This window comes from Homo sapiens, chromosome 5 (assembly GCF_000001405.40).
Source record: "Homo sapiens chromosome 5, GRCh38.p14 Primary Assembly".
In the NCBI taxonomy this organism is placed as follows: domain Eukaryota; kingdom Metazoa; phylum Chordata; class Mammalia; order Primates; family Hominidae; genus Homo; species Homo sapiens.
In genome coordinates this window covers 70,478,934-70,497,706 of record NC_000005.10, presented here as the reverse complement: position 1 = coordinate 70,497,706, position 18,773 = coordinate 70,478,934, and the positions used below count along the sequence as shown (strand labels likewise).

Below are 18,773 nucleotides of genomic sequence, written 5' to 3'. Positions count from 1 at the left end.
GGGGGAGTTGGATTCAGGGGTGGGGGAGAAAGAGTGTTGTTAGAGAGCTCGGTCTAGGACTAGAGGAACGTGCCCTTATGTAAAATACATCTCAAGTTAGGGAAGAAAGCAGCGGCTCTGTGCTTTGTTTTTTTTTTTTTTTTTTCTTTTCTTTCTTTCTTTTTTTTTGTTTGTTTGTTTGTTTGTTTGTTTGTTTGTTTTGGGGCAGGGTCTTGCTCTGTGGCCCAGGCTGGAGTGCAGTAGCGTGATTTCGGCTCACTGCAACCTCCACCTCCCGGGTTCAAGCAATTCTTGTGCCTCAGCCTCCCGAGTAGCTGGAGTTACAGATGCGTGCCACTAAGCCTGGCTAATTTTTGTATATTTAGTAGAAATGGGGTTTTGCCATGTTGGCCAGGCTGTTCTTGAACCCCTGACCTCAGTGATCTGCCTGCCTCAGCCTCCTGAAGTGCTGGGATTACAGGCGTGAGCCATCGTGCCTGGCCCCCAGTTGTGTTCTGGCAGGGGAAGATGGGACAGAGAGGATGGGAGGTTGTCTGAGCCTTTCCCGGACTGACGGAACCTGTGTCTTCTCTCTTTTGTGGACAGGATGGTGATTGCTCACACCAAAGCCTTGGACCCCTCCCAGCCTGTGACCTTTGGGACCAACTCCACCTACGCAGCAGACAAGGCGGTGAGCCTGGGGGTCCCCACCCCATTTCTCCCTGCCTTTGCCTGGGCTTGTCCTGAAGCCTGCTCATGGGAACAGCTGGAAAGAACCATGTGCTGCCAGTCTGAGCTTTTTATTTTGTTTTACTTAGAAAGATAGAGACAGGGTCTTGCCATGTTGCCCAGGCTGGTCTCGAACTCCTGGGCTCAAGTGATCCTCCTGCCTCGGCCTTCCAAAGGGCTGGGGTTACAGGCGTGTGCCACCGCACTCAGCCGCGGCCAGTCTGTTTTCAAAGATGGTCTTTGGGTTAATGACAATTCTCTCTCTGCTTACTCTCCAGGCAGTGTGGCTTTCTGAATCCAAGGAGGCTGGGCATAGGGAGATGGGATTTGTTTGCCCGGTTTGGACTCAGCATTTTTTGTACTCGATTTAATAGACTCATAAAATGTCAAAGGTTTAAGTGAGCTTAGAGTTCATCTGGCCCAAACCTGGCTGATCAGAATCTCCAGGGGAAGTTTTATTGAAATGCCAGATCTCTGCGTTCTGAGATCCTGATTTAGTAACTCCAGGGTTGGAACCTGAGTTTTTTGTTTTTTTGTGTGTGTGTGTGAAGGCAAGGTCTTACTCTGTTGCTCTGGCTGGAGTGCAGTGGTGTGATCACAGCTCACTGCAGCCTTGAATTCCTGGGCCTAAGCAACCCTCTTGCCTCAGCCTTCCAAGTAGCTGGGACTCCGGGGGTACACCACTGTGCCCGGCTAATTTTAAATGTTTTTGTAGAGATGGGATCTCACTATGTTGCCCAGGCCAGTCTCAAACTCTTGAGCTCAAGTGATCCTCCTGCCTTAGCCTCCTAAAGTGCTGGGATTACAGGCATGAGCCACCGTGCCTGGCTGATACTAGCATTCTTTTTTATTTTTTATTATTTTTTTAAGATAGAGTCTTGCTCTGTTGCCCAGGCTGGAGTGCAGTGGCACAGTCTCAGCTCAGTGCAACCTCCGCCTCCCAGGTTCAAGCAATTCTCCTGCCTCAGCCTCCCAAGTAGCTGGGATAACAGGCACATGCCACCACGCCTGCGCTTGATCGTGGGAGGCAGAGCTTGCATTATTGTGCCACTCCATTCTAGCCTGGGCAACAGAGCGAGACTCTGTCTTCCAAACAAAGCGGAAAAAGATTATCTGCGAGAATGACTGCATTGGCCCCTTGGGTGGGAGGGCTTCTCCAGGGCAAGGTGAGGGGATGCCCAGTGCTGGGAGTGCTGCCTGGAGAGGAGTCAGTTCCAGTGGCGGGGGCCCTGGGTTTTGGCTGAGGACTGCGTGTTGGCAGCTGCTCTGCCTCTCACAGCCCTTCCCAGCTGCACACGTCGTGAGCGTCAGTGTGCAATCACAGGCCTGCCTCCTTTGGGCCACTTTGTGACCATGTTTGTTGCTTGTGGGGCAGGGTAATTTCAGGATCTAAATTGGTGCAGTTGGATGTTCTCAGCCCCGAGAGGCAGCTCTTCCCGTTGTAGGCTTTTTGTTTTGTTTTGTAGAAATGGAGTCCTACGACGTTGCCCAGGCTGGTCTCAAACTCCTGGGCTCAAGTGATCCTCCCACCTTGGCCTCCCAATGTGCTGGGATTACAGGCATGAGCCACTGTGCCGTGCTGATTTTCTTGATACTATTTTTTGTAGAGCTGGGGTCTTGCTGTGTTGCCCAGGCTGGTCTCGAACTCCTGGCCACAAGCCACCCTCCTGCCTCAGCCTCCCAGAGTGCTGGGATTACATCCCCTTCTTACCTTCTCTGTCAGAGGAGCCCCCACAGCATGTGAGTACTGAGTCATGCGGTCTTGTGGTTGCTGAACGGGCTCTGCTGCTCTGGTCCTAGGCTCTGTATGTGGATGTGATCCGTGTGAACAGCTACTACTCTTGGTATCGCAACTACGGGCACCTGGAGTTGATTCGGCTGCAGCTGGCCGCCCAGTTTGAGAATTGGTGTAAGACATCACAATCCCATTATTCAGAGCGCGTATGGAGTGGAAACGCTTGTAGGGTTTCACCAGGTAAGCGGTGTTGAACTTTCTGCTTGTGTATTCTCTCTGGGCAGAGATGCCACTTGCCTCCCCCACCATGCCATCTCTGAAGAATATTACAGACCATTTTGGAGCATGGTGAATAAGAAATTTTCACCTTAGGAGTTCAGTTGAATAGTCATTTTTATATTTGTGACTGCAAGTCACTCTTAGGGGCTGTACTTCCTTAGTACTGGTAGCATTATTATCCAATGGACTTTTATAGCTTTCATTAGGTTTTCTTTTGTTTTTGTTCTTTAAAGAACATTTTACTTATCTTAGTATTTCATTTTTCATCTATATTATGAGGCAGTAAGAGTCTTCTGTTTTTCCAAAGTTGAGACTGCTTTATATTTATTTCATATTGTCTACAGCTGTAGTGTTCAATACATTAGCCACTAGCCACATGTGGTTATTTAAATAAGATAAAATAAAAATTGGCCGGGCATGGTGGGTCACGCCGGTAATCCCAGCACTTTGGGAGGCCGAGGCGGGCAGATCATTAGGTCAGGAGATCGAGACCATCCTTACTAAGACGGTGAACCCCCATCTCTATTAAAAATACAAAAAATTAGCCGGGCGTGGTGGCGGGCGCCTGCAGTCCCAGCTACTCAGGAGGCTGAGGCAGGAGAATGGCGTGAACCTGGGAGGCAGAGTTTGCAGTGAGCCGAGATGGCGCCACTGCACTCCAGCCTGGGGGACAGAGCGAGACTCCATCTCAAAAAAAAAAAGAAAATTAAAAATTAAGTTCTTTAGTTGCACTAGCCATATTTCAAATACTTGATGGATACATGTGGCTAGTGGCTAACATAAGGGATAGCACAGATATAAAACATTTGCTCGTCATATAAAGTTCTATTGGATAGTGCTGGTCTGTAGCTTATAGGATGGTATCTTAGTCTGCTTCAGCTGCTAAAACAGAATACCATAAATTAGGTAGCTTAAACAGTAGATATTTTGACCAGGCGTGGTGGCTTATGCCTGTATTCCTAACACTTTGGGAGGCCGAGGCAGGTGGATAACTTGAGCTCAGGAGTTTGAGACTAGCCTGGGCAGCATGGCAAAACCTTGTCTCTACGAAAATTAGCTGGGCGTGGTGGTGCACGCCTGTAGTCTGAGCTACTTGGGAGGCTGAGGTGGGAGAATTGCTTGAACCTGGGAGGCGGAGGTTGCAGTGAGCCATGATCGCACCACTGTACTCCAGCCTGGATGACAGAATGAGACTCTGTCTCAAAAAAAACAAAAACAAACAAACAAAAAAAAACAGATATTTCTCACAGTTCTGCAGACTGGAAGTGCAAGATCAAAGTGTTGGCAAATTATGTTTCTTAAAGAGGGCCTGCTTCCTAGATTGGAAATGGCCATCTTCTCTCGGTATCCTCACATGGTAGGGAGAAAAGCAGCTCTAGTGTCTCTTCTTATAAAGGAAGTAATGCCACCATAGGGGCTCTATTCTCATGACCTCATCTAAACCTAATTCTCTCCTAAAGGCCACGCCTCCCAGTATCCTCACCTTGGGGGTTAGGGCTTTATCATATGAATTTTTTTTTTTTTTTTTTTTTTTTTTGAGACAGAGTCTCGCTCTGTCTGTCACCCAGGCTGGAGTGCAGTGGCACAATCTCGGCTCTCTACAAGCTCCGCCTCCTGGGTTCACGCCATTCTCCTGCGTCAGCCTCCTCAGTAGCTGGGACTAAGGCGCCCGCCACTGCGCCCGGCTAATTTTTTGTATTTTCAGTAGAGACGGGGTTTTACCATGTTAGCCAGGATGATCTCGATCTCCTGACCTCATGATCCACCCGCCTCGGCCTCCCAAAGTGCTGGGATTACAGGCATGAGCCACCGCGCCGGGCCTATCATATGAATTTTGAGGGAACACAAACATGCAGTCTGTAGCAGATGGTAATAGGCTGACATATTACACTTGTTGATGTAAATCTGATAGGTTTCTTTCTCTCCAAGGACAGCTTTTTAAATATTTAACAGTATCAATAATTTTTCAGGTTCTGTGAGAATTTTATAATTTATAATTTGCAGACTTAATGTATAATCTATTTTGTCCTAACAATTACAAATATATTTTTTATTTCAGATTGTATATATTCCTACCAGATGGAGATAATTACAGCTTTAAAAATTTTTATTTTTTCATTTTATTTCACACATTGACATTAAATTTTTATGGACACATAATAACTGTACATATATATGGGGTAGAATGTGATGTTTTAATACATGTACTCAATGTGTAATGATCAAATCAGGGTAATTTGCATAATGATTTTTCTGTAGGGAGAAAATTCAAAATCTACTCTTCTGGCTATTTTCAAATATATAATATGTTATTGTTAACTATACTCATCCTACTATGCAATAGGACACCAGAACTTATTCCTGGGTTCTACATCCGTTAAGGCAACCAAGGATTGGAAATATTGGAAAAAAAAATTGCGTCTGTACTGAACATGTACAGACTTTTTTCTTGTCCTTATTCCTTACACAATATAGTACAATAACTATTTGCATGACATTTACATCGGATATTATGAGTGATCTAGAGTTGATATGAAGTATATGGGAGGATGTGCAAAGGTGATGTGCAAATACTATGTCATTTTATATCAGGGACTTGAGTATCCTTTGTTACCCTCAGGAGATCCTGAAACCAGTCCCCCATGGATACTGAGGGCTGACTGTATAGTCCTATCCTCACGGAACTTTCATTCTAATGGGGGAAGACTGACTATAAACAAAATATATGTAATAGGTGGTGGTAAGTACCGTGGAGAAGTAACAAACGGGGCAAAGTGAGTTATACAGCTCCATTCTTAGAAACCTTGGAGTACTTTTCTTAGTTTATACTCGTGGTGGTTTCCTTTTGTCTCCTTTATTACATGGGACTCTGACATGTGCCCATAGCTAGGGTGACAGTAGGATCTACCCGATAGTAGGGTGGCAGTAGGATCTACCCAAAAAGCATCCTGCTGATACAGGACCAAAGCATCCTGTTGTTCTCGAGCCTATAAAAAGAGCTAATGGTGTTGCTTCTCTTAACTGTGGCCTCCTACACTGTGTTTTGGATGATTGGTGATGTCTTGGATATTCTGTTTCTTTGGAACTTTGAATATACAACACTTTACTAGGGAATTAGCAATGGAAGCAGAGCAAAGATGTACAGAGGAAACAATGCGTAACTCTGATGGAATTGAAGTCATGAGGCAGCAGAGAGCTTAAATTACAGCTTTAAAAATTTTTATTTTTTAGAGGGAATTTACTTGGGAGTAACAGCAGTAATAGTTAACGGAGCCAGAATGCTTGAGTCATATAATTGCAAAGCAGAGTTGGGAGCAACAGATGCTAAAGAGTAGTTGCTGTAGTTCCTCTTTGGGTCGTAGGAGCAGTTGTCATATTACTATATAGCTACTGCATGAAGAAGAGTTCTTAGTGAGGCCTGGGTGAACAGCTCTTCTTAGTATTCTGTGTGACCCCATTTGACCTTTTAACAAATCCCTAAGTAAATAAATAGCCCCTCAGGAAAACTAAGTTTTTCTCTGCTGTTTTTTTGCTTGAGAGAGCTATAACTGTAATAGACTTATATTTCTGAACATTTTAGTGCTTGCCAATATTTGGTAATATTTATGTTTCCTATATTTGTAATGAACATTCTTCTTCCGGTACATTTTTTGTTAAATTATTGTTTGATGGATAAAAGTTCACCTTTTATTGTATAAAATTGACTGAGATTAATTTATACACATTGACAATGGGTAAATAGAATTTTTCAGATTATTAAAAGCTGAAGGATGCCCACGTAAGCAAAAAAAAAAAAGAAAAAACCAACAAAAATAAACCCAAACCCCTCAAACAATTTCGAACACGAAACATTCTTCTGATGCCGGCATCCCTGCTTGCAGGTGTGAAGGGGGCAGGAATCAGCGAGGTGTCCTGGGCTGAGTCCCCGGAGTGGGAAGAGGTGGCAGGAAGGGGATCTGAGGAGGAGAACAGGGGTCCTGGTGGTCTGTGCTTCTTCCCAGACATGGGAGCTGTAGAGGAGACCTCTGCAGCAGATGCTAGGGGGGCCAGTAGGCCCAGGCAGTCTTGGGACTTGGGTCTGTCCTGCTGTGCATCCATAGTGGGTGCTTTAGAAACGGGAGGCCCACCCGAAGCCCCTGTTGCAAGTGAGGACAAAGTGTGGGAAGGCCGTGAGGGTCTGCAGTCCGAGATGGCCTTGTCCTCAACGTGCAGTGCAGTGTTGATGCGGGGCCTAGAGGCCTGGGATCTGGGGGAGCCACCCCTGGGGGCAAGTGTCTGCCCTGGTGCTGTACCTGCCTTCTTCTCACAGCGGGTGTGACCCGAAGAGACAGCCTGAGGTCCGTCCTCACTCACTGTGTTTGAGGAACTGTGGGCCAGCTGGCAGTGGGATGAGGCTGGCCCCCTCCTCCGCTTTAGTTGCGGGAGGCCTTCCGTAGAGCTGTGGGAGCTGGAGCTGGCATTTCCTTGGAGGCAGGATCTGGTCCGGGAGGTCTGGGATCTCTGGTTATATCTCACTTCTGACCTCTGGACACGTGCTGCAGCTGTGGCTGAGGCCAAGAAATGTGAGGGGCTTCCATCCACTGCATTGAGTAGTGACCCCGACGTGGGGTTCAATGTGGAGGGGGGAGGGGCTGCTGCTGCAGCTGCAGGAGCCGAGGTGCCAGGCCTTGTTCTTCTCATGCCGGCATCGCTGCTTGCAGCTGTGAAGGGCGCGGGAATCAGCGAGGTGACCTGGGCTGAGTCCCGTGAGTGGTAAGAGGTGGCAGGAAGGGGATCTGAGGAGGAGAACAGGGGTCCTGGTGGTCTGTGCTTCTTCCCAGACACGGGAGCTGTAGAGGGGACCTCTGCAGCAGATGCTAGGGGGGCCAGTAGGCCCAGGCAGTCTTGGGACTTGGGTCTGTGCTGCTGTGCATCCATAGTGGGTGCTTTAGAAACGGGAGGCCCACCCGAAGCCCCTGTTGCAAGTGAGGACAAAGTGTGGGAAGGCCGTGAGGGTCTGCAGTCCGAGATGGCCTTGTCCTCAACGTGCAGTGCAGTGTTGATGCGGGGCCTAGAGGCCTGGGATCTGGGGGAGCCACCCCTGGGGGCGAGTGTCTGCCCTGGTGCTGTACCTGCCTTGTTTTCACAGCGGTGACCCGAAGAGACAGCCTGAGGTCCGTCCTCACTCACTGTGTTTGGGGAACTGTGGGCCAGCTGGCAGTGGGATGAGGCTGGCCCCCTCCTCCGCTTTAGTTCCTGGAGGCCTTCCGTAGAGCTGTGGGAGCTGGAGCTGGAGCTGGAGCTGGCATTTCGTTTGAGGCAGGATCTGGTCCGGGAGGTCTGGGATCTCTGGTTATATCTCACTTCTGACCTCTGGGCACGTGCTGCAGCTGTGGCTGAGGCCAAGAAATGTGAGGGGCCTCCATCCACTGCATTGAGTAGTGACCCCGACGTGGGGTTCAATGTGGAGGGGGGAGGGGCTGCTGCGGCAGCTGCAGGAGCCGACCTTGTTCTTCTCATGCCGGCATCCCTGCTTGCAGCTGTGAAGGTGGCAGGAATCAGCGAGGTGACCTGGGCTGAGTCCCGGGAGTGGGAAGAGGTGGCAGGAAGGGGATCTGAGGAGGAGAACAGGGGTCCTGGTGGTCTGTGCTTCTTCCCAGACACGGGAGCTGTAGAGGGGACCTCTGCAGCAGATGCTAGGGGGGCCACTAGGCCCAGGCAGTCTTGGGACTTGGGTCTGTCCTGCTGTGCGTCCATAGTGGGTGCTTTAGAAACGGGAGGCCCACCCGAAGCCCCTGTTGCAAATGAGGACAAAGTGTGGGAAGGTCGTGAGGGTCTGCAGTCCGAGATGGCCTTGTCCTCAACGTGCAGTGCAGTGTTGATGTGGGGCCTAGAGGCCTGGGATCTGGGGGAGCCACCCCTGGGGGCAAGTGTCTGCCCTGGTGCTGTACCTGCCTTGTTTTCACAGCGGTGACCCGAAGAGACAGCCTGAGGTCCATCCTCACTCACTGTGTTTGAGGAACTGTGGGCCAGCTGGCAGTGGGATGAGGCTGGCCCCCTCCTCCGCTTTAGTTGCGGGAGGCCTTCCGTAGAGCTGTGGGAGCTGGAGCTGGCATTTCGTTTGAGGCACGATCTGGTCCGGGAGGTCTGGGATCTCTGGTTATATCTCACTTCTGACCTCTGGACACGTGCTGCAGCTGTGGCTGAGGCCAAGAAATGTGAGGGGCCTCCATCCACTGCATTGAGTAGTGACCCCGACGTGGGGTTCAATGTGGAGGGGGGAGGGGCTGCTGCGGCAGCTGCAGGAGCCGACCTTGTTCTTCTCATGCCGGCATCCCTGCTTGCAGCTGTCAAGGGGACAGGAATCATCGAGGTGACCTGGGCTGAGTCCCGGGAGTGGGAAGAGTTGGCCGGAAGGGGATCTGAGTTGGAGAACAGGGGTCCTGGTGGTCTGTGCTTTTTCCCAGACACGGGAGCTGTAGCGGGGACCTCTGCTGCAGATGCTAGGGGGGCCACTAGGCCCAGGCAGTCTTGGGACTTGGGTCTGTCCTGCTGTGCATCCATAGTGGGTGCTTTAGAAACGGGAGGCCCACCCGAAGCCCCTGTTGCAAGTGAGGACAAAGTGTGGGAAGGCCGTGAGGGTCTGCAGTCCGAGATGGCCTTGTCCTCAACGTGCAGTGCACTGTTGATGCGCTGGAATGCCTTCTCTTTTTCCAGGTGCAGGTCTTCAGCCGTGACCCGGTACCCCAGCTCTAAGCGATGTGGCAGCATCAAAGGCTCCCCTCGCCTGCGTGGCAGCAGGGGAATCTTGCGTCTACGGGGCCTAGAGTCCTGGGATGTGGGGGAGCCACCCGTTGGGGCGATTGTCTGCCCTGGTGCTGTATCTGCCCCCTTTTCACACCGTGTGTGACCCGAAGAGACAGCCTGAGGCCTGTCCTCACTCACTGTCTTTGAGTAACTGAGGGTCAGCTGGCAGCGGGATGAGGCTGGCCCCCTCCTCTGCTTTAGCCCCGGCAAGCCTCCCGTGGAGCTGTAGGAGCTGGAGATGGCATTTCGTTTGGTGCTCGAGCTCGTCCAGGATGTCTGGGATGTGTGGTTATATCTGATTTCTGAGCTCTGGGCGTGGAGGTCTGTCTGCAGAGGCCCGGGCCTGGGCACAAAGGGAGAGGGGCCTCCATTGTCCCGCAGGGGCCAAAATGCAGACCGTGCATCCCCGGTGACCTCGGGGACCGTTCTCTGATCATCAGGATTTTCTTGGACTCTGGGGTCCTTGTCCTGCTCAGGCATCCCTGCCCCGCTCTCCTTGAGGGCCCTCAACACTATCTTCCCTGGACACAAGTCTGGGGACAGCCGGGTGTTGTGGACCCCAAAGGGGTGACTACCTGCTCCTGGGCCCCACAGAGTCCTTGTGCTCAGTGTAGTGGCTGGGCTGGGGGATGCCCTGGAACTCGGAGCACACAGCACTGGCTTACTGTGGTACCTGTGCAGTGAAATTGAAGACGGAATCACCAGGATGGAACACAGGTCTTGCAGGATCACGGAAAACCTTCTTAGAGTTGTCTTGACACCAGTGATGTCGAGTGTCCGGGTGTTTGTAGGATGGCCTGCCACTCAGTCCAGGGGCAGGAGCAACGGGGAGATCCCACAAGCAAAGTGAACTGGGGGATGGGCTGAAGGGGCTCCAGGCAACTGAGCCCTACTCGCAGGTCCTCGGCCTTGGCCCAAACAGGAATGAGGGGCACAGAGTGCCCGGGTAACCGCTCCTGGGAGCAGTGGGGAACTGTCGGATACTTGAACTCTCAAGAGCTGGGCTCTGAGCGTCCTCGTCCAGCTGCCAACTTGGCCAAAGGCTAAGCCAGCAGATTGTTCTGTTGCCGGGCAACGCGACTTCTAAACCTGAGGGAGTGGGCATGTGAGCACATAATGGCACCAGTGACAGAGCGACCATAATGGATGAATAAGCACAGCCAGGTACCCGCGCAAGGCACCTGCTGGCAATGGCAGGAGGCGGACGTGGGGGGTCGTGCAGTAGGTACTGGAGGGAGAGACGTGGGCACAAAGGTCGCGGGAGGAACAGGTGCCCACAATGGCTGCATATTTGCCCGTGGATCACTGAAGATTCCTGCTCTCCTGCTGAGGTGGAGACTGCAGTGAGCTGAGATCGCACCATTGCACTCCAGCCTGGGCAACGAGTGCAAAACTCAGTCTCCAGATAAAAAAAAGAAAAAGAAAAAAAAGAGGCCGGGTGTGGTGGCTTATGCCTATGATCCTAGCACTTTGGGAGGTCGGGGTGGACGGATCACGAGATCAGGAGTTGGAGGCCAGCCTGGCCAACATAGTGAAAGCCCGTCTCTAGTAAAAATACAAAATTTAGTCAGACATGGTGGGCAGGAGAGAGCATGTGCAGGGGAACATCCATTTATAAAACCATCAGACCTCATGAGACTTATTCACTACCATGAGAACAGCATGGGGGAAACTGCCTCCATGATTCAGTTATCTCCACCTGGCCCCACCCTTGACACATGGGAATTGTTACAATTCAAGATGAGATTTGGGTGCGGACAGAGCCAAACCATATAATTCTTCCCCGGCCCCTCCCAAATCTCATGTCCTCATATTTCAAAAGCAATCATGCCTTCCCCTAAGTCCCCCAAACTCTTATTTCAGCATTAACTCAAAATTCCATAGTCCAAAGTCTCATCTGAGACAAGGCAAGTCCCTTCCACCTATGAGCCTGTAAAATCAAAAGCAAGTTAGTTATTTTCTAGATACACAGGGATACAGGCATTGGGTAAATACACTCGTTTCAAATGGGAGAAATTGGCCAAAGCGAAAGAGCTACAGGCCCCATGCAAGTCCAAAACCCAGCAGGCAAATCTTAAAGCTCCAAAATGACCTCCTTTGACTCCATGTGTCACATCTAGGTGATGCAAGAAGTGGGTTCCCAGGGTCTTGGGCAGCCCCGCCCCTGTGGCTTTGCAGGGTACAGCCCCCCTTCTGGCTGCATTGAGTGTCTGCAGCTTTTCCAGGCACACAGTGCAAGCTGTCAGTGGATCTACCATTCTGGGGTCTGGAGGATGGTGGCCCTTTTCTCACAGCTCTGCTTGGCAGTACCCCAGTGGGGACTCTGTGTGGGAGCTCCAACCCCATATTTCCCTTTGACACTGCCCTAGCAGAGGTTATCCATGAGGGCCCCCCCCTCCCCTCCCCCCCACAGCAAACTTTTGCCTGGATTTCCAGGCATTTTCATACATCTTCTGAAATGTAGGCGGAGGTTCATGAACGTTAATTCTTGACTTCGGTGCATCTGCAGGCTTAACACCACCTAGAACCTGAAAGGCTTGGAACTTGCACCCTCTGAAGCCATGGCCTGAGGTGTACCTTGGCCCCTTTTACCTATGGCAGGAGCAGCTGGGATGCAGGGCCCCAAGTTCCTAGGCTGCACACAGCAGGGGGTTCTGGACCCACAAAACCATTTTTCCTTCTAAGCCTCCTGGCCTGCGATGGGAGGGTCTGCTGTGAGGGTCTCTAACATGCCCTGGAGACATTTGCCCCATTGTCTTGGTGATTAACATTTGGCTCCTCATTACTTATGCAAATTTCTACAACCCAGTCTCCTGAGAAAATAGATTTTTCTTTTCTGTTGCATCATCAGGCTACAAATTTTCTGAAATTTTATGCTCTGCTTCTTCTCGAATGCTTTGCTGCTTAGAAATTTCTTCTGTCAGATACCTTAAATCATCTCTCTCAAGTTCAAAGTTCCACAGATCTCTAGGCCCAGAAAAAAAAAATTAGCCTGGCATGGTGGCATGTGCCTGTAGTCCCAGCTACTCAGGAGTCTGAGGTGGGAGGATTGCTTGAGCCTGGGAAGTCCAGGCTGCAGTGAGTCAAGACTGCACCACTGCACTCCAGCGTAGGCAACAGAGCGAGTCTGTCTCATAAACAAATAAAAAATAAAATAAAAGACCCCACTGTGTTGTTGCCTATAACAATTCACTTTAAGGCTGGGTGCAGTGGCTCATGCCTGTAATCTCAACACTTAGGGTGGCAGAGGTGGGAGGACAGCTTGAGCCCAGGAGTTTGAGATCTGCCTGGGCAACATAGTGAGACCCCGTTACCCACAAAAAGGAAAAGGAAAAAACAAGAATTGACTTTAAATATAGTCACAGATAGATTAAAAAGAAAATAATCTAAAAGATGTAACATGAAAAAACTAATAAAGGCCTAAAAAATACTATCAAGGATAAAGAGGGATATTTCTGTTTTTTAGAGACAAAGTTTTACTCTGTCACCCAGGCCACAGTACAGTGGCACAATCATAGCTCATTGCAACCTATACTCCTGAGCTCAAGCGATTCTCCTGCCTCTGCCTCCCAGGTAGCTGGGACTACAGATGCATGCTACCACACCCTGTTTGTTTTAAAAATTTTTTGTAGAAATGGAGTCTAGCTATGTTGCAAAGGCTAGTCTCAAACTCCTCGCCTTGTGCACTCCTCCCACCTCAGCCTCCCAAAGTGCTGGGATTATAGGTGTGAACCACCATGCCTGCTTGGGATATTTAATATATTCTCTGGAATATGAAAGACCAAAGGGCAAAAAAATAGCTAAGACACACTCTTGAAGAGAAAGAACAAGACTATTCTGCAGGAAAATATGAAAATAAGCTCAACTGCCAGGCGCGGTGGCTCACACCTGTAATCCCAGCACTTTGGGAGGCTGAGGTGGGTGGATCACCTGAGGTTGGGAGTCCGAGACCAGCCTGACCAACATGGAGAAACCCCATCTCTACTAAAAATACAAAATTAGCTGGGCGTGGTGGCACATGCCTGTAATCCCAGCTACTCGGGAGGCTGAGGCAGGAGAATCACTTGAACCTGGGAGGCGGAGGTTGTGGTGAGCCGAGATCGTGCCATTGCACTCCAGCCTGGGCAACAAGAGTGAAACTCCCGTCTCAAAAAAAAAAAAAGAAAGAAAAAAAGAAGAAGAAAATAAGCTTAACATTATTAGTAATTACACTGACAAAAATTAAAATTTGGGCAATACCAAGTTAGTGAGGAAGCAAATCAATAGAAACGCATCTAGGCCAATGGGAATGTAAATCAGTGCAACCACTTGGGAAAAAGCTTTGCATTATCTAGTGGAGTTGAACACCCGCAAAGTTCTATGACTCTGCAATTCTTTACTTTGTTATGTATCCTAGAGAAACACACATGAGCACTGGAAAATATGTACAAGAATGTTCATAGGGCATTATTTGAATTTGCAACACTCTGAAAACGACCCACGAGGTTAATCAACAGTAAAATAAGTTATTATATATTCATAAAATAATACACTATTTACCAATGAAAACAAGTGAACTACAACTGTGTAGTACATATAAATATGGATGAATCTCAAAAACATCGTGGAGTAAAACCAGCCAATTACAAGAAGAATCATGCAGTATGCTTCTTATTTGAACTTCAAGAATAGACAAAGCTAAATATGTTTAAGGATGTATATGTAGTTGGTAAAACCACAAAGAGAAGCAGGGGAATAATTAACCCAAACTGAGCATCACATTTACCTCTGGATTGGAGGGACAGGGATATAATCAGAATTAGGGGGTGGTTGGCATGCAGAGTTGTTTTTTGTTTTTTGATTTTTTTTTTTTTGAGACAGAGTCACGCTCTGTCGCCCAGGAGTGCAATGGCGCCATCTTGGCTCACTGCAACTTCCGCCTCCCAGGTTCAAGCCATTCTCCTGCCTCAGCCTCCCTAATAGCTGGGACTACAGGCGTGTGTCACCAGGCCCGGTTAAATTTTTCTGTTTTTTAACAGAGATGGGGTTTCACCATGTTGCCCAGGCTGGTCTCGAACTCTTGAGCTCAGACAATCTGCCCACATCGGCCTCCCAAAGTGCTGAGATTACAGGCGTGAGTCACTGCACCCGGCCGCAGGGGTCTTTTAAGGCATTGATAATGTCCAATTTCTTGACTTTACTAGGAGGTTCATAGGTTGCTTTTTATTCATTCTTTAAAGCATACATAAAAATTTTAGGTAATCATTTGGAGACATACTGGTTTGCAGTTTTTTTAAGAGGCAAAGGAAGAGTAAAAATCCAAAAAGGAGTTGGCTGGGAGCAGTGGCTCATGCCTGTAATCCAAGTACTTTGGGAGGCTGAAGCAGAAGGATCATTTGGAGCCAGGAGTTTGAGACCAGCCTGGGCAACAAAGCAAGACCCCATCTCTACAAAAAAAAACTTTAAAAAATTAGTCGGGCATGGTGACACATGCTTGTAGTCCTAGCTACTTGGGAGGCTGAGGTGGGAGGATCACTTGAGCCCAGGAATTTGAGGCTACAGTCAGCTAGGATTGTACCACTGCACTTGCTCCAGCCTGGGTGACAGAGCCGAGACCCAGTCTCTTAACAAAAAAACACTAAAGGCCAGGTGTGGCGGCTCACACCTGTAATCCCAGCACTTTGGGAGGCTGAGGCAGGAGGATCACTTGAGGTCAGGAGTTCAAGACCAGCCTGGCCAACATGGTGAAACCCCGTCTCTACTAAAAGTACAAAAAATTAGCCAGGCATGGTGGGGAGGTACCTGTAATCCCAGCTACTTGGGAGGCTGAGGCAGGAGAATCGCTTGAACCCGGGAGGCGGAGGTTGCAGTGAGCCGAGATCACGCCACTGCACTCCAGCCTGGGTGACAGAGTGAGACTCCATCTCAAAAACAACAACAACAAAACACTAAAACTAATAATAATAATAGTATAAAAGGGAGTTGATCGATTCCAGAGTAAGTTCTAAATAAGACTAGACTGCATCCTAGCTTATCCTTCCAAGAATTAAGTAGAATGTCCCCATTGTTCTCAATAATTTATTATACACTAAGCCCAAATAAGAAAGAAAAATGAGGTAACTACTGCTATCAAAATACCTTCAAGGCAATAAAATTAGATAGAAGTATTCATTTTGTTTTATTTTTGTTTTTACCACTATACAAATGAGCAGGAAGCATTCATTTTAAAATCTGTATGTGTTCATATTCATTTCTAAAAAAAAAACTCTTACTAATTACATAGTGAAAACACAAATTTCTTCTTGCAATTAAACATTTCTAAAGAGTTTGATGGGTAAAAAAAAATTAAGTTTAAAGATTCATAGAAAAGAAATATTTCTTCATAAAATTTTAGAACAGATATTTTTCTGAAAGCTTCCAGCACAGGAAAAAAAAAAATTTTGTTTGCAGTAAAAGGATTGACAAGCAGAAAGGCATGGAACTTCTCGACAGCACATTAGGAACCAGTAGAAATGTAGCAGTGCCTCTACAATTTAGAATTAAAATGACTTCCAACCTATAATTCTACACCTAGCTAAACTATCAAATAAGTGTGAGAATACAGGAAAAACATATATCTAGATAGATCTATATGTCTGTATATGCATTATATGCAACTAAAAGTGTGTATTTCTTATGCAGTCTTTCCCAGGGAACTCCGATGAAGTGTTCCAACAAAATGAGCGAGTGAACCAAGAAGAGGATGACATTAGATCCAGGAGATACAACAGAGGAGATAATCTCCAGGATGCCTGTGAAGAAAGATCCCTGGATCCCAGGATGATTATAGGACAAGTTGTTCATAATCCAGCAGGCCAGAAGACTTCCAGGGAAACTCATTTCAAGATGAAAATGGACCAGCCGCAGTGGCTCACGCCTGTAATACCAGCACTTTGGGAGGCTGAGGCAGGCGGATCACTTGAGGTCAGGAGTTTGAAACTAGCCTGGCCAACGTGGCAAAACTCCATCTCTATTAAAAATACAAAAATTAGCCAGGCATAGTGGTGCATGCCTGTAGTCCCAGCTACTTGGGATGCTGAGGCAGGAAGAATTGCTTGAACCTGGGAGGCAGAGTCTGCAGTGAGCCGAGATCATGCCACTGCACTCCAGCCTGGGTGACAGAGCCAGACTCCGTCTCAAAAAAAAAAGAAAAAGAAAAAAAAAATGATGACTCTTTCAAGAAATGAAAATGATGAGATATCTGGTAGGTCTGAATGACTTAAGAGGAGATTTAAACATTTGGGATAAGTTGAAGATGAGCTGGTGTTCGTCTTCATTTATTTCATTTAAATAAATAAAATTATTAATACATGAATTTTATCTCAAGAAACAAAAATAAGCAATGTACATAAAAATTAAGCAGATGGCTGGCCGGGCGCGGTGGCTCACGCCTGTAATCAGAGCACTTTGGGAGGCTGAGGCGGGTGGATCACAAGGTCAGGAGATGGAGACCATCCTGGCTAACACGGTGAAACCCCGTCTCTACTAAAAAAATAAATAAAAAATAAATTAGCCGGGCGTGATGGCAGGTGCCTGTAGTCCCAGCTACTCGGGAGGCTGAGGCAGGAGAATGGCATGAACCCAGGAGGCGGAGGTTGCAGTGAGTGAGATCACGCCATTGCACTCCAGCCTGGGCGACAAAGTGAGACTCCATCTCAAAAAAAAAAAAAAAAAAAAAAAAAAAAAAATTAAGCAGATGGCTATAATTTTTTTAAAAATAGAAAAGTGTTGATGAGAAATGGGAAACCTCATACATTGTTGGTCAAACTGTATGCTTCCATTTAGAGGAAATAGTCAGAACAAATAAATCCATAGACACCAATTAGGTTGGTGTATCCCAGGGGCTGGGCATGGAGTGGGGTGGAGAGAGAAGGAGGGCCTGCTTAGTGGATACAGAGTTTTCTTTGGGGGCGATGAAAGTGTTTTGGAACTAGATAGAGGGGGTGGTTGCACAACATTGTTGTTGGTGGGAATTTAAAATGGTGCAAGCACTGTGGAAAAAACAGTTTAGCATTTCCTCAAAAAGTTAAAACAGGCCAGGCGCTGTGGCTCACGCTTGTAATTCCAGCACTTTGGGAGGCCAAGCCAGGTGGATCACTTGAGGTCAGGAGTTTGAGACCAGCCTAGCCAACATGGTGAAACCCTAAAAATACAAAAAATTAGCCGGGCATGGTGGCAGACACCTGTAATCCCAGCTACTCAGGAGACTGAGGCAGGAAAATTGCTTGAACCTGGGAGGCGGAGGTTGCAGTGAGCTGAGATCGCACCGCTGCACTCCAGCCTGAGCGACAGAGTGAGACTCTGTGTGAGAAAAAAAAAAAAAAAGTAAAAACATAGAATTACTATACAGCTAGCAATATCGTTGTTAGGTATATGCCCCAGAGACTTGAATACAGTTACATGCTCCATCAGATACCTGTACCCAAATGTTCCTATCGGTATTACTCATGGTAGCCAAAAGGTAGAAACAACCCAAATATCTACAAATAGATGAATGGATAAATAAAATGCAGTGTATCCATATGGAATATTACTTGGTCTCAAAAGGAAGGAAGTACTTATGCAAGCTACAACATGGATAAACTTCAAAACAATATGCCAAGTGAAAGAATCCAAATGCAAAAGGTCAAACGGTATGCTTCCATTTAGAGGAAATAGTCAGAACAAATAAATCCATAGACACCAATTAGGTTGGTGTATCCCAGGGGCTGGGCATGGAGTGGGGTGGAGAGAGGAGGGGGGCCTGCTTGATGGATACAGAGTTTTCTTTGGGGGCGATGAAAGTGTTTTGGAACTAGATAGAGGGGGTGGTTGCACAACATTGTGAATGTACTATAATAAATGCCACAGAATTGTGTACTCTAAAATGGTTTAATTGCTGTGCATGGTGGCTCACGCCTATAATCCCAGCACTTTGGGAAGCCAGGATGGGAAGACTGCTTGAGCCTAGAAGTCTGAGAGCAGCCTGGGCAACATAGAGAGACCCTGTCTCTTAAAAAAAAAAAAAAAAAAATTAGCTGGGTGTGAAGACATGTGCCTGTAGTCCCAGCTACTTGGGAGGCTGAGCGAGGAAGATTGCTTGAGCCAGAGAGGTCAAGGCTGCAGTGAGCCATGATTGCACCACTGCACTCCAACCTGGGCAAGAGAGAGAACCTGTCACAAAAAATAATAAATAAATAAATAAAATGGTTACTACCTGAATTTTACCTCAGGAAAAAAAAATAAGCTAACATACCAACAGGACAGT

At 47.8% G+C, this 18,773-nt stretch overlaps 2 pseudogenes across 2 annotated transcripts in view; one reads left to right on the top strand and one right to left on the bottom strand.

Moving 5' to 3' along the window:
* The window catches only part of GUSBP15 (GUSB pseudogene 15), a 104,680-nt pseudogene extending 88,016 nt beyond the window's left edge, over positions 1–16,664 (top strand). Inside the window, exons 9-11 of the transcript NR_034021.1 lie at positions 586–670; positions 2,509–2,683; positions 16,169–16,664. The product of NR_034021.1 is annotated as a GUSB pseudogene 15 (transcript). The remainder of the gene's footprint in view (positions 1–585; positions 671–2,508; positions 2,684–16,168) is intronic.
* LOC441081 (POM121 membrane glycoprotein (rat) pseudogene) lies at positions 5,920–11,206 on the bottom strand (annotated as a pseudogene). Its single transcript, NR_073404.1, has one exon. The product of NR_073404.1 is annotated as a POM121 membrane glycoprotein (rat) pseudogene (transcript).
* Positions 16,665–18,773: the final 2,109 nt, after the last annotated feature.